We start from the raw sequence: 26,258 nt of genomic DNA on the forward strand, positions 1-26,258 counted from the left end.
TAATATATTTTATTAATTTTAGACAGCACAGACTTCAAGCAAAGTTATAAGGGACAAAATGAGCATTATATAATGATAAAAGGGTCCATGCTTCTAGGAGGTATAACAATCCTTAAGGTATATACATCTAACTAAAGAGTGTCAAACTATGTGAAGCAAAACTGATAGAACTGAAAGAAGAAATAAATGTGTTATTATACTTGGAGACAATAACATTCTTTATTAATTTAATTTAATAATATTATTAATTTAATTTAATAACATTATTAATTTAATTAACAGAACTCTTAGGTAGAAAATCAGTAAGGAAGGACCTATTTGACCTCAACAGCATCATCAATCAATCAACATCTGTAGATAACTTCATCCAACAATAGCAGATTATGTATTTTCCTAAAGTTCACATGGAATATTCAGTAACATACACCACTATCTGGGTCATGGAAAGCACCTTAAGAAATTTTAAACAATACAACTGTAAATTGTCGTCTGCCCTGAGACCACAATGAAATTAAAGTAGAAAACAATAACAGAAAGATAGCTGGGAAATACATGCAGAATCCCATGTATTTACCAAAATACATACAGATTTTAAAAACCTTCCAAATAAAACAGCAATCAAAGAAGTAATCTAAAAAGAAGTGAAAAAATATTTTGAACTAAATTAAAATGATAATACAGTTTACCAAAATTTGTGGGATAGAGTGAAAGCTGTGCTTGCAGGGAAATTTACAGCACTGAATGCATATAATAGAAAAGAAGAAACATCTAAAAATCAATAATCTAAAAAGAGACAAAAGCGGACATTATATAATGATAGTGGAGTCAATTTAGTAAGAGGATACAACAGTTGTAAATACATAAACACCCCACACTGCAGCATCCAGATATATAAAGCAAATATTATTAGAACTAAACAGAGAGATGGGCCCCAATAAAATAATAGCTGGGAGCTCCAACACACCACTTACAGCATTTAACAAATCATCAAGACAGAAAATCAACAAGGCAACACTGAACTTAATCTGCATTCTAGACCAAATGGACCTAAATAGATATTAAGAGAATATTTCATTCAGTGGTGGAGAATAAACATTCTTCTCCTCAGTACCTAGATCATTCTGAAAGATAGGCCATATGTTAGGTCACAAAACAAGTCTTGAAATATTCAAAAAAATTGAAATCATATCAAATATCTTCTCTGAACACAATGGAATAAAACTGGAAATCAACAAAAAGGGGAACTTCGGAAACTATATGAACACATGGAAATTAAAGAATATGATCTTTAATGACTAGTGGTTCAATAAAGAAATTAAGATGAAAGTTTAAAAACTTCTTGAAACAGATAGAAATAGAAACACAACATAATAACACTCATGGAATACAGCAAAAGCAGGACTAAGAGGAAAGCTTATAACAAAAGTGGCTATGTCAAAAAAGTAGAAAAATTTTAAATAAACAACCTAAAGATGGATCTTACAGAAGTAAAAAAGAGCAAACCAAACCCCAAATTAGTAGAAGCAAAGAAATAATAAAGATCAGAGCAGAAATAAATGAAATTAAAATAAAAAAGTACAAAGGATCAATGAAATAAAAAGTTGATTATTTGAAAAGATAAAATTGACAATATTTAGCCAGAATAATTAAAAAAAAGATAAGACCCAAATACATAAAATTAGAGATAGAAAAAGAGACATCACAACTGAAACCACAGAAATTCCAAGGATCGTTAGAGGCTACTATGAGCAACTACATACCCAATAAATTGGAAAACTTAAGAGAAATTGATAAATTCCTAGACACATACAACCTATCAAGATTGAACCATGAAGAAATCCAAAACCTTAACAGACCAATAACAAGTAATGAGATTGAAGCCATAATAAAAAGTCTCTCAGCAAAGAAAACCCAGGCCCTCATGGCTTCACTGCTGAATTTTGCCAAACACTTAAAGAAAAACCAATACCAATCCTACTCAAACTATTCTGAAAAGTAGAGGAAGAGAAATACTTCCAAACTCATTCTACGAGGCCAGTAATATAAAAAAACAGACAAAGGTACATCAAAAAAAGAAAACTACAGGCTAATATCTCTAATGAACACTGATGCAAAAATCCCCAACAAAATACTAAAAAAGTGAATTTAACAACACATTAAAAAGGTCATTCATCCTGATCAAGTGGGATTTATTTCAGAAATGCAAGGGTGATTCAAAATATGCAAATCAATCAATGTGATGCATTATGTGAACAGAACAAAGGACAAAACCAATATGATCATTTCAATTGATGCTGAAAAAACATTTGATAAAATTTAACATCACTCCATGATGAAAACCCTCAAAAAGTTGAGTATAGAAGGAACATACCTCAACACAGTAAAAGCTACATATAACACACCCACAGCTAGAATCATACTGAATGAGGAAAAATTGAAAATCTTTTCTCTAAGATCTGGAAGAAGACAAGGATGCTAACTTTCACCATTGTTATTTTAGATAGTACTGCGGTCCTAGACAGAGCAATCAGACAAAAGAGCAAAATAAAGGGCAACCAAATTGGAATAGAAAAAGTCAGTTTCCAGATGATATAATCTTGTATTTGGAAAATCCTAGACTCCACCAAAAGCTATTAAAACTGATTTTTTTAAAAGTCAGTAAAGTGTGGAAACACACAAAAATCAGTAGCATTTCTGTATGCCAACAGGAAACAATCTGAAAAAGAAATTAAAAAGTAATTCCATGTACAATAGCTACAGATAAAATTAAATACCTAGGAATTAATTTCACCAAAGAATTGAAAGATCTCTAAAATGGAAACTATAAAACATTGAAGCAAGAAATTGAACAGGACACAAAAAAATGTAAAGATACTTTACGTTCATGCATTGGAAGAATCAATATTGCTAAACGTTCATACTATCTAAAGCAATCTACAGATTCAATGCAATCTCTATCAAAATGCCAATTGCATTCTTCAGAGGAAAGAAAAATCCTAAAACTTATATGGAACCACAAAAGACCCAGAATAGACAAGGGCATCCTGAGCAAAAATAACAAACCAAAAGGAGTGGCATTACCTGACTTTAAACTATACTACAGAGATATAGTAACTAGAACAGCATGGTACTGGCATAAAAACAGACACATAGACCAAAGGAACAGAATAGAGAACACAGAAATAAATCCATACCTCTGCAGTAAATTCATTTCAACAAATGTCAATAATATACATTGGGGAAAACACAGTCTCTTCAATAAATGGTGCTAGGAAAACTGGTACACATGCAGAAGAATGAAACTAGACCCCTATTTCCCACCATGAACAAAAATCAAAACAAAATGGATTAAAGACTTAAATATAAGACATGAAATCATAAAAATACTACAAAAAAACATTGGGGAAACTCTCCAGGACATTGGTCTAGGCAAAGTTTTTCCGAGTATTAGTACGCCACAAGCACAGGCAACCAAAGCAAAAATGAACAAGTATGATCACATCAAGTTAAAAAGCTTCTGTGCAGCAAATAAAACAATCAACAAAGTGAAGAAACAACTCACAGAATGAGAGAAAATATTTGCAAACTATACATCTGACAAGGGATTAATAACCAGAATATATAAGAAGCTCAAACAATTCAATAAGAAAAAAATTAATAATTCAATTAAAAAATGCACAAAAGATCTGAGCAGACATTTCTCAAAAGAAGACATACAAATGGCAAACAGATATATGAAAAGATGCGCAACATCATTGATCATCAGAGAAATGCAATCAAAAGTACAATGACATATTATCTTACTCCAGCTTAAGTGGATTTTATCCTAAAGACAGGCAATAACAAATTTTGGTGAGAATGTGGAGAAAAGGGAACTCCCAAACACTGTTGGGGCAAATGTAAATTAGTACACCCACTATGGAGTACAGCATGGAGGTTCCTCCAAAGACTTAAAATAGACCCATCAGTGTGCTGTATTCAGGAAACCCATCTCACATGCAGAGACACACATAGGCTCAAAATAAAAGGATGGAGGAAGATCTACCAAGCCAATGGAAAACAAAAAAAGGCAGGGGTTGCAATCCTAGTCTCTGATAAAACAGACTTTAAACCAACAAAGATCAAAAGAGACAAAGAAGGCCATTACATAATGGTAAAGGGATCAATTCAACAAGAGGAGCTAACTATCCTAAATATTTATGCACCCAATACAGGAGCACCCAGATTCATAAAGCAAGTCCTCAGTGACCTACAAAGAGACTTAGACTCCCACACATTAATAATGGGAGACTTTAACACCCCACTGTCAACATTAGACAGATCAACGAGACAGAAAGTCAACAAGGATACCCAGGAATTGAACTCAGCTCTGCACCAAGCAGACCTAATAGACATCTACAGAACTCTCCACCCCAAATCAACAGAATATACATTTTTTTCAGCACCACACCACACCTATTCCAAAATTGACCACATAGTTGGAAGTAAAGCTCTCCTCAGCAAATGTAAAAGAACAGAAATTATAAAAAACTATCTCTCAGACCACAGTGCAATCAAACTAGAACTCAGGATTAAGAATCTCACTCAAAGCCGCTCAACTACATGGAAACTGAACAGACTGCTCCTAAATGACTACTGGGTACATAATGAAATGAAGGCAGAAATAAAGATGTTCTTTGAAACCAACGAGAACAAAGACACCACATACCAGAATCTCTGGGACGCATTCAAAGCAGTGTGTAGAGGGAAATTTATAGCACTAAATGCCTACAAGAGAAAGCAGGAAGGATCCAAAATTGACACCCTAACATCACAATTAAAAGAACTAGAAAAGCAAGAGCAAACACATTCAAAAGCTAGCAGAAGGCAAGAAATAACTAAAATCAGAGCAGAACTGAAGGAAATAGAGACACAAAAAACCCTTCAAAAAATCAATGAATCCAGGAGCTGGTTTTTTGAAAGGATCAACAAAATTGATAGACCGCAAGCAAGACTAATAAAGAAAAAAAGAGAGAAGAATCAAATAGACACAATAAAAAATGATAAAGGGGATATCACCACCGATCCCACAGAAATACAAACTACCATCAGAGAATACTACAAACACCTCTACGCAAATAAACTAGAAAATCTAGAAGAAATGGATACATTCCTCGACACATACACTCTCCCAAGACTAAACCAGGAAGAAGTTGAATCTCTGAATAGACCAATAACAGGCTCTGAAATTGTGGCAATAATCAATAGTTTACCAACCAAAAAGAGTCCAGGACCAGATGGATTCACAGCCGAATTCTACCAGAGGTACAAGGAGGAACTGGTACCATTCCTTCTGAAACTATTCCAATCAATAGAAAAAGAGGGAATCCTCCCTAACTCATTTTATGAGGCCAGCATCATTCTGATACCAAAGCCGGGCAGAGACACAACCAAAAAAGAGAATTTTGGACCAATATCCTTGATGAACATTGATGCAAAAATCCTCAATAAAATACTGGCAAACCGAATCCAGCAGCATATCAAAAAGCTTATCCACCATGATCAAGTGGGCTTCATCCCTGGGATGCAAGGCTGGTTCAATATACGCAAATCAATAAATGTAATCCAGCATATAAACAGAGCCAAAGACAAAAACCACATGATTATCTCAATAGATGCAGAAAAAGCCTTTGACAAAATTCAACAACCCTTCATGCTAAAAACTCTCAATAAATTAGGTATTGATGGGACGTATTTCAAAATAATAAGAGCTATCTATGACAAATCCACAGCCAATATCATACTGAATGGGCAAAAACTGGAAGCATTCCCTTTGAAAACTGGCACAAGACAGGGATGCCCTCTCTCACCGCTCCTATTCAACATAGTGTTGGAAGTTCTGGCCAGGGCAATCAGGCAGGAGAAGGAAATAAAGGGTATTCAATTAGGAAAAGAGGAAGTCAAATTGTCCCTGTTTGCAGACGACATGATTGTATATCTAGAAAACCCCATCGTCTCAGCCCAAAATCTCCTTAAGCTGATAAGCAACTTCAGCAAAGTCTCAGGATACAAAATCAATGTACAAAAATCACAAGCATTCTTATACACCAACAACAGACAAACAGAGAGCCAAATCATGGGTGAACTCCCATTCACAATTGCTTCAAAGAGAATAAAATACCTAGGAATCCAACTTACAAGGGATGTGAAGGACCTCTTCAAGGAGAACTACAAACCACTGCTCAAGGAAATAAAAGAGGACACAAACAAATGGAAGAACATTCCATGCTCATGGGTAGGAAGAATCAATATCGTGAAAATGGCCATACTGCCCAAGGTAATTTACAGATTCAATGCCATCCCCATCAAGCTACCAATGACTTTCTTCACAGAATTGGAAAAAACTACTTTAAAGTTCATATAGAACCAAAAAAGAGCCCGCATTGCCAAGTCAATCCTAAGCCAAAAGAACAAAGCTGGAGGCATCACACTACCTGACTTCAAACTATACTACAAGGCTACAGTAACCAAAACAGCATGGTACTGGTACCAAAACAGAGATATAGATCAATGGAACAGAACAGAGCCCTCAGAAATAATGCCGCATATCTACAACTATCTGATCTTTGACAAACCTGAGAAAAACAAGCAATGGGGAAAGTATTCCCTATTTAATCAATGGTGCTGGGAAAACTGGCTAGCCATATGTAGAAAGCTGAAACTGGATCCCTTCCTTACACCTTATACAAAAATCAATTCAAGATGGATTAAAGATTTAAACGTTAGACCTAAAACCATAAAAACCCTAGAAGAAAACCTAGGCATTACCATTCAGGACATAGGCGTGGGCAAGGACTTCATGTCCAAAACACCATGTCTTCTCAAAAGAAGACATTTATGCAGCCAAAAAACACATGAAGAAATGCTCATCATCACTGGCCATCAGAGAAATGCAAATCAAAACCACTATGAGATATCATCTCACACCAGTTAGAATGGCAATCATTAAAAAGTCAGGAAACAACAGGTGCTGGAGAGGATGTGGAGAAATAGGAACACTTTTACACTGTTGGTGGGACTGTAAACTAGTTCAACCATTGTGGAAGTCAGTGTGGCGATTCCTCAGGGATCTAGAACTAGAAATACCATTTGACCCAGCCATCCCATTACTGGGTATATACCCAAAGGACTATAAATCATGCTGCTATAAAGACACATGCACACGTATGTTTATTGCGGCACTATTCACAATAGCAAAGACTTGGAACCAACCCAAATGTCCAACAATGATAGACTGGATTAAGAAAATGTGGCACATATACACCATGGAATACTATGCAGCCATAAAAAATGATGAGTTCATATCCTTTGTAGGGACATGGATGAAATTGGAAACCATCATTCTTAGTAAACTATCGCAAGAACAAAAAACCAAACACCGCATATTCTCACTCATAGGTGGGAATTGAACAATGAGATCACATGGACACAGGAAGGGGAATATCACACTCTGGGGACTGTGGTGGGGTTGGGGGAGGGGGGAGGGATAGCATTGGGAGATATACTTAATGCTAGATGACACATTAGTGGGTGCAGCACACCAGCATGGCACATGTATACATATGTAACTAACCTGCACAATGTGCACATGTACCCTAAAACTTAGAGTATAATAAAAAAAAAACATATCCCAAATTCAAAAAAAAAAAAAAAAAAAAAAAAAGAACTACCATATGATCCATCAATCCCACTGCTAGGTATATACCCAAAAGAAAGGAAATCAATATAAAGAAGAGATGTCTGCACTTCCATGTTCATTATCAAACTACTCACAATAGCCAATATTTGGAAATAACAAAGGACAAATGTTACTTCTCACTTATTTGTGGGAGCTAGAAAAATTAAAACAATTGAACTCATGCAGCTAGAGAGTTTTATGATGGTTACCAGAGACTGGGAAGGGTAGTGGAGTCGGGGTGGGGTGGAGAGTGAAGATGGTTAATGGGAACAAAAATGTGGTTAGATGGAATGAATAAGATCTAGTATTTGATAGCACGATAGGGTGACTACAGTCAACAATAATTTATTATATATTTTGAAATAACTAAATGAGTATAATTGGATAGTTTGTAACACAAAGAAAGGATAAATGCTTGATGCAATAGATACCTAATTTACCATGATGTGATTATCACACATTGTATGACAAGTAATTGTATGGTTTGGAGCAATTTTCTTAGTCTTGATTTCTAATTTTATTGTGTTGTGGTTTAAGAGAGTGGTCGTTATGATCTCAGTTATTTTGCACTTGCCAAAGATTGTTTCATGTCCAATTGTGTGGTCAATTTTAGAGTATGTGCCATGTGGTGGTGAGAAGAATGTATATTCTGTTGCTCTGGGATAGAGTTCTGTAGATATCTGTCAGATTCATTTGATCCAGTGCTGATTTCAGGTTGTGAAAATCTTTGTTGATTTTCTGTCTTGATGATCTGTCTAATCATGTCAGTGGGGTGTTGAAGTCTCCCACTATTATTGTGTGGGAGTCTAAACTTCTTTGAAGGTCTCTAAGAGCTTGGTTTACAAATCAGGGTGCTCCTGTGTTGGGTGCATATATATTTAGAATAGTTGGGTCTTCTTGTTGAATTGAAACCTTTACCATTATGTAATGCCCTTCTTTGTCTTTTTTTGGTCTTTGTTGGTTTAAAGTCTGTTTTCTCTGAAATTAGGACTGCAACCCCTGCTTTTTTCTGTTTTCCATTTTCCTGGTAAATTTTTTTCATCCCTTTATTTTGAGCTTATGGGTGTCACTGCTTGTGAGATGGGTCTCTTAAAGACAGCATAACAGTGAATCTTGGTTTCTCATCCAGCTTGCCACTCTGTCTTTTAAGTGGGACATTTAGCCCATTTACATTCAACATTATTATTAATATGTGTAGATGTGGTCCTGTTACCTTAATTCTAGCTGGTTGTTATGCAGACTTGTTTGTGTGGTTGCTTTATAGTGTCACTGGTCTGTATACATAAGTGTGTTTTTGTAGTGGCTAGTAACAGTCTTTCCTTTCCATATTTAGTGCTTAACTTCAGGAGCTTTTGTGAGGCAGATCTGGTGGTAACAAATTCCTTCAGCATTTGCTTGTGTGAAAAGAATATTATTTCTCCTTCACTTATAAAGTTTAGTTTGGCCAGATATGAAATTCTTGGTTGGAATTTCTTTACCTTAACAATGTTGAATATTGGCCCACAATCCCTTCTGGCTTGTAGGATTTCTGCTGAGACGTCTGCTGGTAGTCTGATGGGCTTCCCTTCATAGGTGACCTGACCTTTCTCTCTAACTGCTTTTAACATTTTTTCCTTCATAGGCTAATACCTAGATGGTGAAATAATCTGTCTAATAATCTCCCATGACATAAATTTACCTATACAACAAACCTGCATATGTAACCCAGAACTTAAAATAAAAGTTTAAAAAATTATTTTAAAATTAGGAAATTTAAAAATATTAAATAAATAAATAATCCAGGCTTCCACCTTAGGTAGCTAGAAATAAAATAACAAATTAAAGCCAAAGTTAGCCAAAGAAAATTAACAATAAAAATTAGAGCAGAACTCAATGAAACTGAAAACAGGAAATCAATGGAGAAAAATCAACAAAATCAAAAGTTGTTACTTTGAAAACATTAGTAAAACTTATAATCCTTTTTCCAGGCTTACAAAGAAAGAAAGAAAAGACACAAGATGCTAATGTCAGAAATGAAAGAGGGGAAATACTATAAACTTTAAAATCCTATGCACATTAAAATGATAATAAAAAATATTATGAATAATTCTACACCCGCAAATTTAATAAACTAGATGAAGTAGACAAAAGCCTTAAAAGAATGACCAAACACTCATAAAAGAAGAAATAGACAATCTGAATAGTTCTATATCTATTCTAGACATTAAACCAATAATTAATAACCTTCCAAAACAGAAAGCAGAATGCTCAAAGAGGTTTACTGAAGAATTCTACCAAACACTTCAGAAGAAATTGTACTATTCTCTACAATCTCTTTCAGAGTATAGAAGCAACAGGACTACTTCCTAACTCATTTTATGAGGCCAGCCTTACCTAATACCAAAACTAAACAAAGATATTGCAGGAAGAGAAAACTACATACCAATATATTTTATGAATGTAGAAATAAAAATTCTGAATAAAATATTAGCAAATTGAATCCAACAATGTATAGAAACAATTATCGTTGTGCACCATATAATGACATTTTAATCAATGATGGATGATATAATATAATGCCACATCTTTACTGCACTTTTCTATGTTTAGATACAAAGATACTTATTGCATTGTGATTTCCTACAGTATCCAGGAAAGTAACATGTTGTATGAGTTTGTAGCCTAGGAACAAGAGTCTATATTATATAGCCTAGGTGTAGTAAGCTGTACCATCTAAGTTTATGTAAGTACACTCTATGATGTTTGTAAAATGATGAAATCTCCTAATGATGCATGTCTTAGAACATGTTCCCATCATTAAGTGATGCATAACCATATATGCCATGACCAAGTGGGTTTTATCCCAAGTATGCAGGGCTGATTCAACTTTTAAAAATTCATTATTATAATCAACAGTCTAAAAATTACATGATTATATCAGTAGATGAAGAAAAAGTATTTGACAAAATCCAACACCCATTCTTGAAAAAAACTCCCACCCATTCATGATAAAAACTAATAATAGAAAAGAACGTCCTCAATAAAGAACATCCACAGAAACCTACAGATAATATATTTAATGGTGAGAAACTTGAAATCTTCTCGCTAAGATCAAGAACAAGGTAAGACTGTTGCCTCTCACTACTGCTTTTCAACATCATACTGAAAGTACTAGCTACTGCAATATATCAAACCAAAAAGGAAATAAAAAGCATAGAGATTGAGAAAGAAGCAATAAAACTGTCTTTGTTTACAAATGACTTGGTTGTCTACATAGAGAATCCAAAAAAATTGTCCCACCGCCCCCCAAAAAAAGCCTCCTGAATCTAATAAGCAATTGTAGAAAGGTTGCAGGAAACAGAGTTTATATGCAAAAGTCAGATACTTTCCTGCATAACATTAAACAAGTCAAATTTCAAATTAAAACCAAATTATTTACATTAGCACCCCAAAAATTAAATACTTCGGTATAAAACTAGCACAATTGTACAAGATCTATATGAGAGAACCTACAAAACTCTGATGAAACACATCAAATCAAAGAAGATTTAAATGGCAAAGAACATAGACAAAAAATTCAATATTATCAAGATGTCAGTTCTTCCAACTTGATCTATAAATTTAATGCAATTCCCATCACTATCCAACCAAGTTACTTTGTGGATATTGACAAATTGATCCTAAAGTGTATATGAAGAAGCAAACCCAGAATAGCCACATAATATTAAAGGAGAAGAACAAAGTTGGAGGACAAACACTACCTGATGTCAAGACTTACTATAAAGCTACAGTAATCAAGACAGTGTGGTATTGGTGAAAGGAATAGGCAGATCAGTGGAACAGAATGGAAATCCCAAAAATAGACCCACATAAATATACCCAACTGATCTTTGACAAAAAAGCAAAGAAAATACAATGGAGCAAAGATTGTCTTTTCAACAAATGGTACTAGAACAACTAGACATCCACATGCAAAAAGATAAATCTAGATACCAACATACATCCTTCACAAAAATTAAATCAAAATGAATCCTAGACCCAAATGTAAATATATATATATTTTATATATATATAAAACTTATGGAAGATAACATAGGAGAAAATCTAGATGACCTTGAGTGTAACAATGACTTTTTAAATATAACACAAGAAACACTATCCATGAAAGAAATAATTGATAAGCTGAACTTCATTAAAATTAAAAATTTCTGCTCTGTGAAAGACAATATAAAGAGGATGGAAAGACAAACCACAGATTGGGAGAAAATATTTGCAAAACACACATCTGAATAAGAACTGTTATCCAAAATATACAAAGAACTCTTAAAACTCAACAATAAGAAAACACACAACCTGATTTAAAAATGGGTTAAAGACTTAAACAGACATTTCAACAAGATTATACCGATGACAAATAAGCATATTAAAAGATGTTCTGCATCATGTCATCAGAGAAAGGCAAATTAAAACAACAATGAGATACCATTACTTGCATATTAGAATGGCCATAATCCAAAATACTGACAACAAGAAACACTGATGAGGATGTGGAGCAACAGAAACTTTTATTCATTGTTGGTAGGAATGCAAAATGGTACAGTTACTTGGAAGACAGTTTAGCAGTTTCTTACAAAACTAAACATATTCATACCATATTTTTCAGCAATTGCTCACTTGGTATTTATCCAGATGAGTTGAAAACATATCCAAACAAAAACACACACACAGATATTTATAGCAACTTTATTTACAATTATCAATACTTGGAAGCAACAAAGATGTCCCTCAGGAGATGAATGGATTAATAAACTGCAGTACTTCCAGACAACAGAATATTATTTGGTGTTAAAAAGAAATAAACTATCAAGCCATGAAAAGGCATGGAGGAAACTTAAACACATATTGCTAAGTAAAATAAGTCAGTCTGAAAAGAAGGTAACATTAAAGAGAAGGCAGAAAAATAAATAGGACGAGGAAGGAGACCAGTATGCCTGCATTTGAAAATTAATTTTAGAGTAGTGAGACAATCAATTAAAATGATAGGATGAGCCTCAAACTCTACAAATCAGAGATTAGATTTAGTGTGGTAAGAATTAAGGAGATGCTATCAACTATAGAGCTGATGTTGACATTTTTAAAAACTTGTCTATTAGAATTCTTTACCAAGGAAAAATATTTGTTGAAACAAAGGTAAAATAAAGACTTATTCAGACATACAAAATCTGAATTCATCACTAGCAGACTGCTTATTACAAGAAAATTTTAAGGAAGTTTATCAGCAGAAAAAAATGATACCAGATGAAAATGTGCATCTATATAAAGGAATAAAAAGCACTAGAAATGGTAATTATATAATTAGAAAAACTTTTGTATTAGTCTGTTTTCACACTGCCATAAAGAAATATCTGAGACTGGGTAATTTATAAAGAAAAGAGGTTTAATCAGCTCATGGTTCTGCAGGCTTCCTATAGGAAGCATGACTGGGGAGGCCTCAGGAAACTTCCAATCATGGTGGAAAGTGAAGGGGAAGCAAGCGTGCCTTCACATCTCCAGAGCAGGAGGAAGAGAGCAAGGGGGGAGGTGCCACACACTTTTAAACAACCAGATCTCATGGGCATTCACTCACTATCATGAGAGCAACACCTAGGGGGAAATCTGCCCCACTTGATCCAGTCACCTCCTACCAGGCTCCACCTCCAATAATGGAGATTACAATTTGACATGAGATTTTGGGAGGACACAGATCCAAACCATATTATTCTGCCCAACCCTTCCCAAATCTCATGTCCGCACATTTTGAAACACAATCATGCTTTCCCAACAGTCTTCCAAAGTCTTAACTCATTCCAGTATTAACTCAAAAGTCGAAAGTTAAGTCTCATCTGAGATAAGGCTAGTACCTCCCACTTATAAGCCTGTAAAATCAGAAACAAGTTAGTTGCTTTCAAGATACAAAGGGGGTATAGGCACTGGGTAAATACTCATTTTCCAAAATGGATAAATAAACCAAAGGAAAGGAGCAACAGGCCCTGTGCAAGTCCAAAACCCAGCAGGAAAGTCATTAAATCTTAATGCTCCAAAATAATCTCCTTTGACTCCATGTCCCAGATTCAGGGCATGCTGATTCAAGGGGTGGACTCCCAAGGTCTTGAGCAGCTCTGCACCATTGGGTCTGCAGGGCTGAGCCCTCATGTCTACTCTCAAGGGCTGGCATTGATTGCCTGGGGTTTTTCCAGGCACTCAGTGCAGGCTGCAGGTGGATCTAGCATTCTGGGGTCTGAAAAATGGTGGTCCTCTTCTCACAGTTCTACTAGGCAGTGCCCAGTGGGGATTCTGTGTGGGGGCTCCAACCCCACATTTCCCCTCTGCACTGCCCTAGTAGAGGTTCTTCATGAGGGCTCTGCCTCCACAGCAGACTTCTGCCTGGACATTCAGGCTTTTTCATATATCTTCTGAAATCTAGGCAGAGGCTACCAAGCCTCAACTCTTGCACTCTGCACACCTGCAGGTCCAGCACCATGTGGAAGCTACGAAGGCTTATGGCTTGCACCCTCTGAAGCAGTGAGTGGCCTAAGTGCCTGGGCCCCTTTGATCCATGGTTGGAGTCCCCAAGGATGCAGGGAGCAGCATCTCAAGGTTGTGCAGAGCAGTAGGGCCCTGGGCCTGGCCCACGAAACTATTTTGCCCTCCTGGGCCTGTGATGAGAGGGGCTCCCATGAAGGTCTCTGAAATGCCTTCAGGTCTTTTTCCCATTGTCTTGGCTATTAGTACTTGCCTTCCTTTTAGTTATGCAAATTTATGCATCTGGCTTGAATTCCTTCCCCAGAAAATGGGATTTTCTTTTCTACCACATGGCTAGGCTGCCAATTTTCCAAATTTTTATGCTGTGCCTCCTTTTCAAATATAAGTTTCAGTTTCAGATAATTTCTTTGCTTATGCATATGTGCATAGACTTTTAGAAGTAGCCAGGCTACATCTTGAATGTTTTCCTTCTTAGAAATTTATTCTGCCAGGTACCCTAAATAATCTCTCTCAAGTTTAAAGTTTCTTAGATCCCTAGAACAGGGATAAAGTGTAGCAAGAGTGACCATTACTCCATATCCCAATAAGCCACCTTTACTTATTAAAGTGACCTTTACTCCAATTCCTCATTTCCATCTGAGACCTCCTCAGCCTGGACTTCACTGTCCCTATCACTATCAGCATTTTGGTCACAACCATTCAAGTCTTAGGAAGTTCCAAACATTACCTCATCTACCTGTCTTTTTCTGAGCCCTCCAAACTGTTCGAACCTCTGCCCATTACCCAGTTCCAAAGCTGCTTCCACATTTTCAGGTGTCTTTATAGCAATGCCCCACCTCTTGGTACCAGCTTTCTGTATTAGTTCATTCTCGCCACTGCTATAAAGAAATACTGGAGACTGGGTAATTTATAATGAAAAGAGATTTAATTGGCTCACAGTTCTGCAGGCTGTACAAGAAGCATGGCTAAGGAGGCCTCAGGAAGCTTACAATCATGGTAGAAAGCGAAGGGGAAGCAGGCATGTCTTCACATGGCCAGAGCCAAAGGAAGAGAGCAAGGAGGGAGGTGCCACACACTTTTAAACCATCAAATCTGGCTAACACTCACTCATTATCACAAGAGCAGCACTGAGGGGGAAATCTGCTTTCATGATTCAAGCACCTCCCACCAGGCCCAACATCCAACACTGGGGATTACAAATTGACATGCGATTTGGTCAGGGATATAGACCCAAACTATATCAAATTTCTTGTTTTTTAAAATGTCTTTTAAAAACTGTTAAAAGAAAAAAAAACAGTGTATCATAGGATCTTAGGATCTATAATATATGTAAAAGTAAAATATATGACAATAATATTACAAAGGCCAGGAGGGGAGACATGAAAGTGTACTGACATGAGGTTCTTATTATATATATGCTGTGGTATACATATAAGAAAAGCTGTGATAAGTTAAAAATTTATGCTTCAAAGTATACATAACACATACACATAACACATAAATACAACAGAGTTATAATTAATAAACCAAAAAAGTAAATAAGATGAAATAATTTTTTAAAAAATCCAAAAGAAGCCAGAAAATACAGTAAAGGGGAACTAAGAGCATATAGAAAAATTGAAAACAAATAAGAATATGATAGACTCACATGCACCTATATCAGTAATTTCATTAATTATTAATTAAGCACTCCAATTAAAAGGCAGAAGTTGTATTGAAAACAAACAAACAAACAAATGCTACCAAGAAGAAAACCACCTTAAATTAAAAAAAACCACACAAATAGGCTACATGTTAAAGGATGGAAAAAGATATATCATGCTACCATTAATCACTCATATTAATATTAGATAATACAGATTTTAGAGCAAAGAATATTACCAGGGATAAAAAGGGCCATTTTATAATGATAAAAGGTTCTATTCATCAAATGGACATACAATTCTAAATGTTTTTATACCTAATAACAGAGTTTCAAATTACATGAAGGAAAAATTGATTAATCTGCAAAGAAAAATATATAAATTCTCAGTTATAGCTGGAAATTTCAACATACATCTCAATAGTTGATAGAAGAAATAGACAGAAAATCAGTAAGTATATTGAACCTTGAGTAATACTACCAAACTAACTTGACCAACTAGAAAACTATTAGAATGATCCACCCAGAAACAACAAAATACACATTGTTTTTCAAGTGCACAGTAAGGATTTACCAAGATAGACCACATTCAGGGTGATAAAACAAGTCTTACTAAATTTGAAAGGTTTTATGGTATAGAAAATATGTTGTATAAACGTAGCAGAATTAAACTAAAATCAATAAGAGATACCTGACAAATCCCAAATATTTGGAAATTAAATAACACTTCTGAATAACCCGTGTATCAAAGAAAGATTTTTTTATAAATCAGAAAATATTTTGAACTGAATGAAAATGTGGAATGCAGTATGTGAGGGGAAATTATAGTAGCAATGGCTATATTAGAAAAGAAAAAGAAGGCCTCAAATTAATAATCTTAGCCTCTACATTTAAAAACTAAAAAAAAAGTAAATTAAACTTCAATTAAGCAAAAGTTGTTTATAAAAAATTTAATGCCAAGGAACTTAACTTAGACTGAGGGGGAAAAAATAATCAAATGTCCACCAACCCTCACTTACGAATAATGGGAATAGCCTAACATTTATTAAAACATTGAGTTTATAGTTAAAAATCTTCCTATAAAAATTCAGGCCCAAATACCTTCTTTAGGGAATCTTACCAAATATTTAAGAAAGAAATATCACCAATCCTAAACAAAGTCTCTGAAAAAAATGAAAAGCAAAGAATACTTCCCAACACATTGTATGGTGCCAGCACCACACTAATACCCAAATCTGACAAAGACATTACAAGAAAACTGCAAGCTAATACCGCTCATGAACATATATGCGAAATTTCCAAACTATCTAAAATCTTAGCCTGTTTCTTTGATGGTCAGAAAGTGCCTGCACCTTATGGTCTCCCTTTATAATCACAATTGGTATATATACAAATTAACTGCATTTATGCATTCAGAATTTGTAGAGGGGTACATTTTCTAGTTTTAAAGCCATTTTTTGTTAAACTTTTTAGTGAAGCTTAATAAACATAGAGAAAAGAGTCTATTTATAGAGCACAGCTCAATGAACTTTAATGCACTAAACACATCCATATAACCAAACCAAGCTCAAGAAACAAATCGTCGGCAAAACCAGAAGCCCCTTTGTGAAGCCTTCTTGTCACTACCTGCTCCCTCTAATAGTATCAATTTTTCTGACTTCTAACAGCAAAGATTGGTTTGAAGGCATTTAATTTTATCAGTCAGCTTTTTTAAATGTTTATTCTGCTTGACATTCATCTAAAATTAGTGTGTAAATATTTTTGAATGATCGCCCATTTTATTAAAACATATTTTGTACATATCCCCTGCTATTTATTTTTAAATTACACAAATATCAGGTTTTAAAAACTTGAATTATTATTTCCTAGCACAATATATACCTGAAGCATGGTTCATTAATAATATAAATCTATTTTTCAAATGGATTTTCAGATAGTTACAGTTTTATAACAGATTTCATAACAGATTTCTCATATGTAATTCAATAATGATTTTTTAATTGGAATGTAGTTATGAAGTGTCTTGAGGCTTATTTGTGCTGAATTTTAACATAATCTCAACTTGAGTTTTTATATGAGAGAATCTTTAGACCACTTGTCTGTTTTGTGAGGATGAATGTAGTTAAAAACTGATTAATATTTTCTCTAAGTCTATATAGCTAAGCACACATAAATGGCAATACATCCCAGATTTCTAAGGGACAGCAAATAAGTGATGGCTCCACTCTCATTCCTTCATGGGGGTGTATTAGTCAGAGTTCTTCAGAGAAATAGAAACAATAGGCTATCTCTCTCTCTCTCTTTGCATATATATAGATATATATATGTATGTATATATAATCATATATATTCATATATCATATATCAAATATATATAGCATCATATATGATTCATATATCATATATATCATGTGTGTATATATATATCTCTATATATATTCTATATATAGAGAGAGAGAATATATATAGAATAGAGAGAATATATATAGAATATATATATTCTATATATAGAGAGAGAGAGAGAAAGAAAGAGAGAGAGAGGTATTTTAAAGAATTGGCTCACACAATTGTGGGGCTTGGTAAATTCAAAATCTGCAAGGTGGAGGTTCTGTCAGGCTGAAGATCCAGGGGAGAGTTGCAGCGTGAATCTGAAGGCAATGTGCTGGCAGAATTCATTCTTCCTCTGAGAAAGGTCAGTCTCTGTTCTATTAAGGACTTTGACTGGTTGGATGAGGCCTATCCACACTATGGTGTGTAATCTGCTTTAATCAAAATCCACCAATTTAAGTGTTAATCTCATCCAAAAAAACACCTTCATGGAAACATCCAGAATAATGTTTGATGGATCGCCTGGTGCCTTGGCTCAACCAAGTTTACATGTAAAATTACCCATCATAGGTTGGAGCTCATCCTTTTGATAGGACGGCCTCCACATCCTCACATATTGACCAAATAAGGGCTCCTAGGCCAATCCATGTTTCAAAATGTAATAAAGTAAAACATCTTATTTGTTTAACATTAAACATGATACATAATGAGTATATGAAAATAACAGTATAAATATTTTTAAATGCAAATAAAAGATGTAATATTGTATTCTAGCCACAACGGATTGTCCTTTAGTATCTTCCAGTGTTTTCCTTCTAAAAGATGCCAGGATTTTTAGAAAGCACTACTGCTGAAAGTGAATAAGGTTTGTCTTAGTCTATATAATTTAGTAAAATCAAATATTTGGTATTGATTGTATTATAATTTCAAATAGTGTTTTTCTATTCAATTATTTTATTCATCTTAACTTGGCCATTACCTAAGCTTTACTTTAAACTTTCTTAGAACGAAGAGCTTAATCACACAATGATCTGGAAATTCATTTAACTCATGGGAAACTAAATTGTCTATGAAATATAAATGCATCCTTTTATAACATATAAAATACCCTATTGTTTAAGTATTTCATGTGTTGTATTCCCTAAATAAAGATTTTATTGGGCAAATGGACATTTTTGGGGCTCTGTATTTTAGGTAAGCAAGAATCTGCTGTTTAAATAACAAGAGGAAATGCATCTACCTCAGACAACTGAAATTTAACAAACTCAGTTGCATTTTTATTAGGATTTCATTGTGAGAAATAGCTGATATCGTTGCTTGCTTTGTCCCCCTTGGTGATTCAGTTTCACCTTTGTATATTCAATAGTGGAGAAACGCTGTAGCCTGGACCATAGTTTTAATTTACATTTGGTCTCCTAGAATTTCATTAAAATCGTTTTGTTTGGCATCTAAAGTCTATGTAAGTCCCAGTTTATATTCCCCCTCAGCTAAATAATTACAAGTCACCACATTTCCATAATCTTTGCCAACATTTTTTCCTTTCAGTGGTAGTGGAAAGTAGTTTTTGTTCTGATTGTCTTTGTTTGCCAAGGGCATTTATTACCAAGACTTGGTAAAGGCTCTGATTGGGCCACATTTTCTTCAGCTGGTTCCACTCATGCTCCCAGCCTTGACCAGTGTAGTTGGTTTGTTTGCTTAAATTCAGAGTTGTTGTTTTTTCTCCCATTATATGCTTTCATGATCTGGAAAGTTTTAGAAAATAATTTCTTAAATTAACTATGAGATCTTCTGAAAACTCAAAGTGTAGCCAAAATAATTTCACTTATTGAAAAACAAAATAGCATATGTTAAAAGCTCAGTCTTTCAACCCTTAGGGTAGACATGTGGTTTTGAGTCCTGGCTCCACAACTTATTAACCTCTCTTTGCCCTTGTTGCCTGGTCTTACAAATGGGAGAATTATTAGTATCCTAATTTAAAAGGTTGCTGTGGATAATGCCTTACACATTATAAGTGCTGTTTGTTACACATGTGCTAGATACACTCTGTCTTTGGAGTAAGTAGTTCAGTAAATTAAACCACTTAGCTATTTACTGAGCTCTCTAGCAGGCTAGTTGATTTAGTCAATGGAATGTTGCAATCTCCATACAGTTAGATAATTCCTTTATGTTCAATGGATTTAAATTTAGAAGCATTAAGTTTAGTGATTCTCCTGGGAGTAAATATTAATCATGAACCTAGGTATCTTTAAGTTATAGGCAAAATGATAGCTCACTCTTAAAGTCATTAATTCAAGGTTGGGTGTGGTGGCAATTGCCTATAGTCCCAGCTATTTGGGAGGCTCACTTGAGACCAGGAGTTTGAGGCTGCAGTACGCTATGATTATTGTACCTCTGAATAGCCACTGCATCCCATCCTGGACAACAAAGCGAGACCCCATCCCTGAAAAAATAAAATAAAAGATTGTAAAGACAGCTCATGTTATTAGGATACAGTTCATAATCTGTGATTGCAATTATAGTCAGCCAGACCTTGCCTAAGCATTCTCAAGCTCAGTCACAGTTTTCATATTCTCATCACTTCTATGGAATTAAATGCCTTGTTAATAATATATGTGTTGGGTTTAATTGTCTTTTAAAATATATTTTAAAAGATTACAATATAACTGAGCATTAACACAAAAAAGTTATTATATTTGCAATAAAGCGTGGAAACAGAACATTGAGTATACATTTGATACTGAAGAAGCAGATACTTGTTTTTGAAAAGATAGTCATGATTTCATTTTTTCTTGCAAAGCAACTATCAAGTGCTCTATGGAACCTAAGAAAGGACAGTACTTACAGGCATGAAAAGTTACGATATAGTTTGCTCCTAAAATACACGTAACTGCCCCTAGACACTTTTTAGTAAGGCCAGTAATTTGGGGAGAAAAATCTGCAACTAATGTTCAAGAAATCTTTAAAGAAATGCCATCTTCTCAGCCCTGGGGCAATATTGTGTAGAAAACACAGACATTAACAACTCTAAGCTGAAAAGTGAGTCAGAAGCATTGGACTCAGATTGTAAAGAAATTTAGGAAATGTCTTCTTCATTAATTTATTGCATTAACATTTTCCTTTTATACCCACATAAGACTGATATGAAATTCTTTAAAGTTATGTTAAGTTCAAAATTGTGTTTACTTTACTAAAAGAGCTCTTTCAGTAAATATAAGATTTTAAAAACTAAGTGATTTATAGGCCTTGTGGATAGCTTAATTGGTAGCATTGTTTTCTTCTTTTGTATTAATATATAAAGATTATAGCACATGTTAAATTGATGAAATCGTATTTGGTGAAATATAATAAGCATGAGTAACAGTATAAGCCTATCTGTGGTAAAGGACCTAGTTTCAATTTTCAATTCGTCACAGGTATTTTTTAAAGTACAAGAAAAATGAAATTTAAAAGATATAAAAATATAATAAGCTAATTCTTCAAATCATTAGATATAACGAATGTAAAATTACTTTGTCAAATTGCTCTAAAATTTTCTAGGTGCTCACTCTCACTTTCTGAACTTATCTTGCCCCAGATCAGTAACAATCCATGGATCAGCAATTTGTGGGCCACACTCTGTGACTGATCTGTGCTGCTATTGAAGTGATAACACTGAATATCAGATATTCTCAGGAATGGCTGGTGAAGTTCAGAAAAAGATAAACCTTAGGTTTTCTTTCTTATACACATCAACATAATGTTTTATGTTTGTATAGAACTTTGCAGTTTATGAAATACTTGCACCAATAAAGCCTTCCAGCCAAGTTGTCTGGATAAGTTGACTCAACACAATATTGCCCCAAGAACTGAGAAGACAGCATTTCTTTAAAGATTTCTTGAACATCGAGTATGTTTCTTTGATGCATACTCTCCACTCTAAACACATATATAGGTTGATAACAGAGAGACCAAAAAGACATAGCCCATCTCAAAAACAAGATCAGCATTTTTCTTGGACAGAAATGCCAAGCAAAAGCAGGGGCAAAACTCAAGGAAGACAATAGCAGTCAGGAGCTTAGCCCTTGTCAGTTAAAGAGCAGAGAGTGCTCCATGCAAGAAGGCAACAGAAATACTCATTTCTCAAAGCTGGAGACTGGAATGAGGCTCCTGCTCTCATGAAAGGAGGAAGACAAAAACCGCTTCTGACTCAAGTGTGTAAGAAGCTGTGAGCCAGGAGGCAAGAGGGCAAAGACACCATTTTATGATTAGGTGCTGGGGCATAAGCATAACCCGGGCAAAGGTATTGGAACACCAATCTGTAGAGATTGGAACACCAGTATCTACAGGTATCAAAGGGGTTTTTTTTTGTCCATTGCTCCAGGGGTTTCCCCTCAAATGCCCTGAGAGAAACTGGGTGCGTAGAATGATTCCTATCGCACAAATGAGAAAATTAAAGCTCAGAGAGTTTACCTAGGAGCATGCAGGACTAATGCCCAGCTTACTGTGCTACCTCAAAAACACAATCTGAGTTGTGTAGTCGGAGTTAATGGAATCGATAGTAGAAAACTTATTCTTTCCTTGAAAATTGTTGTTGTTGTTGTTGTTGTTTGTTTGTTTGAGACAGAGTCTCGCTGTGTCACCCAAGCTGACGTGCAGTGGCACGATCTCAGCTCACTGCAACCTCTGCCTCCTGGTTTCAAGCAATTCTTGTGCCTCAGCCTCCCAAGTAGCTGAAATTACAGGCACACACCACCACACCTGGCTAATTTTGTATTTTTAGTAGAGATGGGGTGGGAGGTGGGGTTCACCATTTTGGACAGGCTGGTCTTGAACTCCTGACCTCAAGTGGTCTGCCTGCCTTGGCCTCCCAAAGTGCTGGGGTTACAGGCATGAGCCACTGCAAATGGCTGAAAATTCAGGTATTTTTAAATTACAACCGAATAGATGTTAAAATTTGTGGCTTTTATAATCATTTTCCCAAAGAATATCAGTTTTTATGATAAAATTTCAACAATACGTGGAGTAAATAAACTTTTGTCTCTTACAAGTTAGTATATTGGTTTCTACACGGTAGTATCAAACTCCAAGATACCAGCATTTTCCTCCAAAAGGTGGAGAGGGTCTTCATATTTTATTAGATGGGGAGAAGCCACTGACAACATGATCTACAGCCTGGACAATAATTTTCAAAATGTTGAGAAAACAATTGAGAAATATATGCCAGCATACTTCCTGGAATTTTCAAAATAGTCCCAATTTCATATAACCTTATTTCTTTTTTTTTTTTTTTTTTTTTTTTTTTTGAGACGGAGTCTCGCTCTGTCGCCCAGGCTGGAGTGCAGTGGCGGGATCTCGGCTCACTGCAAGCTCTGCCTCCCGGGTTCACGCCATTCTCCTGCCTCAGCCTCCCGAGTAGCTGGGACTACAGGCGCCCGCCACTACGCCCAGCTAATTTTTTGTATTTTTAGTAGAGACGGGGTTTCACCGTTTTAGCCGGGATGGTCTCGATCTCCTGACCTCGTGATCCGCCCGCCTCGGCCTCCCAAAGTGCTGGGATTACAGGCGTGAGCCACCGCGCCCGGCCCAACCTTATTTCTTTTACTTACCTTTTCTTAACAGATTATGGATATGTGGTTTAATTTCAATGGCTTTGTAAGATGCACTATATAAATCAAGGCAAACAAGTAGAAAAAAACTTTCATCAAATATCTTAACTTGATATTTTTTATTCAGAAGCTCTAGGCTACATTTGAGAGAGGTCCCTGAAACCAAGCAAAGTACCAATCAACAGGCATGTGGATTCAGCTTGAACAGATACGGAAATTAGTACAGGAAGCACAGTCATAATAGCGAGCATGGGTAATATCATAAACTAAAGCCACCCTCACCTTGCCCCGGTTTCTTCAAAAAAAAAATTCCCTCTGAATTTACTTACTCCTCTACTTACTCCTAGCATCTACCCATTTGTCTGTTGACAAATAATGAAAATTTGGTTCTCTAGTCTCATACTTCTTTATCCCCACCAACTGCTAAGTTCATCCAAGTAACACAGTACCATAAGAGATATGGTACTGTTTCTCAAAATTGTGTGCAGGATTTTGTTAGAATTTATAGAAGATGTGGTTATGCTTTTTAATTTAAAAAGTAAATATAGGATTTTTCTTTATTCTTGTTCAATGCTTCCTTCTTCTCATTCTGACATTAAAAGTCATATTATACAGTCAAACATTTGGAGTGTTTAGATGTACACATTTCTTGCATACATGTATATTTTACATAGTCTTATACATCACTTGACACATAGTTCCTAGTTTTCACTTTGAGGATAAGTTGTCATCATTTTCATGCATACAGTGGAAGGAAATGAGCACATCTTGCTTTCTTGCACAGTGGATCAGACACGCCCTTAACCCTGAAATCCATTTGGGAAAGGATTCCACAGATATTAGCTCACTTAAAAATAGTTCATGCTTTAGGACAGTTTGTTTCTTTCAAGGTTATAAGACTGGATAAATAATGTAGAGACTTTTGAAATGTTGAGTTTACATCTTAGCAATTAAGAGTATTCAAAAATAAACCATAAACGCTTGTGATTTATATGTTTGGCAAAGCACTTATAAGTTGAGATTTGCTTTTTTCTTCTTAATCCCAGAATGGGAATTTTCTATCTGATTTAAGAAGTAGGAATTTTTTTTTTCTTTTTTTCCTCTACCTGTGTGGAGGAACTTCCACAGAATTTTGGTGTGTGGAGCCCATTTTCAAATAACATCTGCCAATTGTTCTTATAGATCAGATTATTTTAAGAAAAGGAATAAAGAAAAAGGATTAGGCCAGTTATGACACCAGCTTGTAACCAAAAATAATGGCTGACATTAATGTGTTTCTAACTGTTTAAGCACCTAAGTGATGTTTAAAATCTCAACCCATGTGTAAGAGAAACTTGCCAAAACTCGCTCAGTGCTAGTTCATTCCTGATTTAAAATACTCTGTGCTTGAAGAAATTATCTGGCTCCAAATAAGCTATTAATTGCAGTACACAGATACTTATTTATAGTTTTGTGGTTGGCATATATGACTGGGTTCGGGACTCCCACTGCTTTGAAAAACACTTAGCAATGTCTGCCAACTGACATTCATAGATATATCATTATCTATTATTTCCCAGGTTTGAAAGAGAAACTAAAAAAATCTTTGTCAGACCTTTTACCTAATTTTTTTAAAATTCAGAAGCTCTAGGTTATATCTGAGGAAGAGCCCCTAATTCATATATGGGAGTTAATGAATTAAGGCATTTGTTTGATAAGCACTATTAAATACCTCATACGTCATACAGTATTTTGGGTGCTGGTGATAAAACTAAGACATGATTTATACCCCCAAAGAGTATAAACAGTTTAAATGGAAGAGAAGGCTACATAAACAAGTAGGTGGAATGAAGCTTTATAGGTGCTGTGATGGAAGTATTCATGGAGTATGATGAGTTCATAAAGGAAGGAGTCATTGCCAACTGGGTGAGGCCATGGGAAATCAGGATGTTAATCAATGGAGAAGGTGGGGCTTGAATTAAGTCTGGAGAATGTACTCTCATTCATCAGGAAGTAAAGGTGATGTGAGTCTGCAAAGAAGAGTCATGGCACAGTTGTATGGTACATTTGGAGAACTCTGGATATTTCATTGTGACATGAATGTAAGATACAGTGAGAACTGGGTTCAGTTAGATATGAAGCTGAAGAGAAAAGCATAAACCAAAGTAGAGATGATCTTGTGTTCCAGCGCAGGTGTTTAAGTAAAACCTTACCAATAAAAGGCAACCTTTGAAAAATTCTAAAAGGGTAAAATCTAAAAGAGTAGGGACATCATCAGATTTCAAATTTAGAGCTAAAAGTCTGGGAGCAGTGTGAGAACAAACTGGAAGGGGTTAGATAAGAATCAGTGACCACATAACAAGAGGCTATGAAAAAGATGCTGAAAATCTAAATAAAGGCAGCAGTGGTTGGGAGCAGGAGGCGACACAAAGGAGAGATATTTAGGAGGCAGAATCGAAATAGCTTGGTCACAGATGAAATGAATCTTTGAATGGATAGATCAATG

The 26,258-nt window shown here is 35.2% G+C and overlaps 1 long non-coding RNA gene across 1 annotated transcript in view, besides 1 other annotated feature; it reads right to left on the minus strand.

Moving 5' to 3' along the window:
* LOC105374171 (uncharacterized) overlaps positions 1-26,258 on the minus strand; it is a 71,200-nt gene that overhangs the window by 8,073 nt on the left and 36,869 nt on the right. The gene's annotated exons all lie outside the window — the stretch shown is intronic.
* Positions 14,191-14,726: an enhancer, noted in NCBI's record as "NANOG hESC enhancer chr3:154639118-154639653 (GRCh37/hg19 assembly coordinates)". NCBI's record gives its function as "activates a minimal SCP1, AML or CMV promoter by ChIP-STARR-seq in primed H9 embryonic stem cells {active_cell/tissue: H9 hESC(primed)}" and the evidence as "EXISTENCE:reporter gene assay evidence [ECO:0000049][PMID:30033119]".

The sequence above is a fragment of the Homo sapiens genome, chromosome 3 (genome assembly GCF_000001405.40).
Source record: "Homo sapiens chromosome 3, GRCh38.p14 Primary Assembly".
Taxonomy (NCBI): domain Eukaryota; kingdom Metazoa; phylum Chordata; class Mammalia; order Primates; family Hominidae; genus Homo; species Homo sapiens.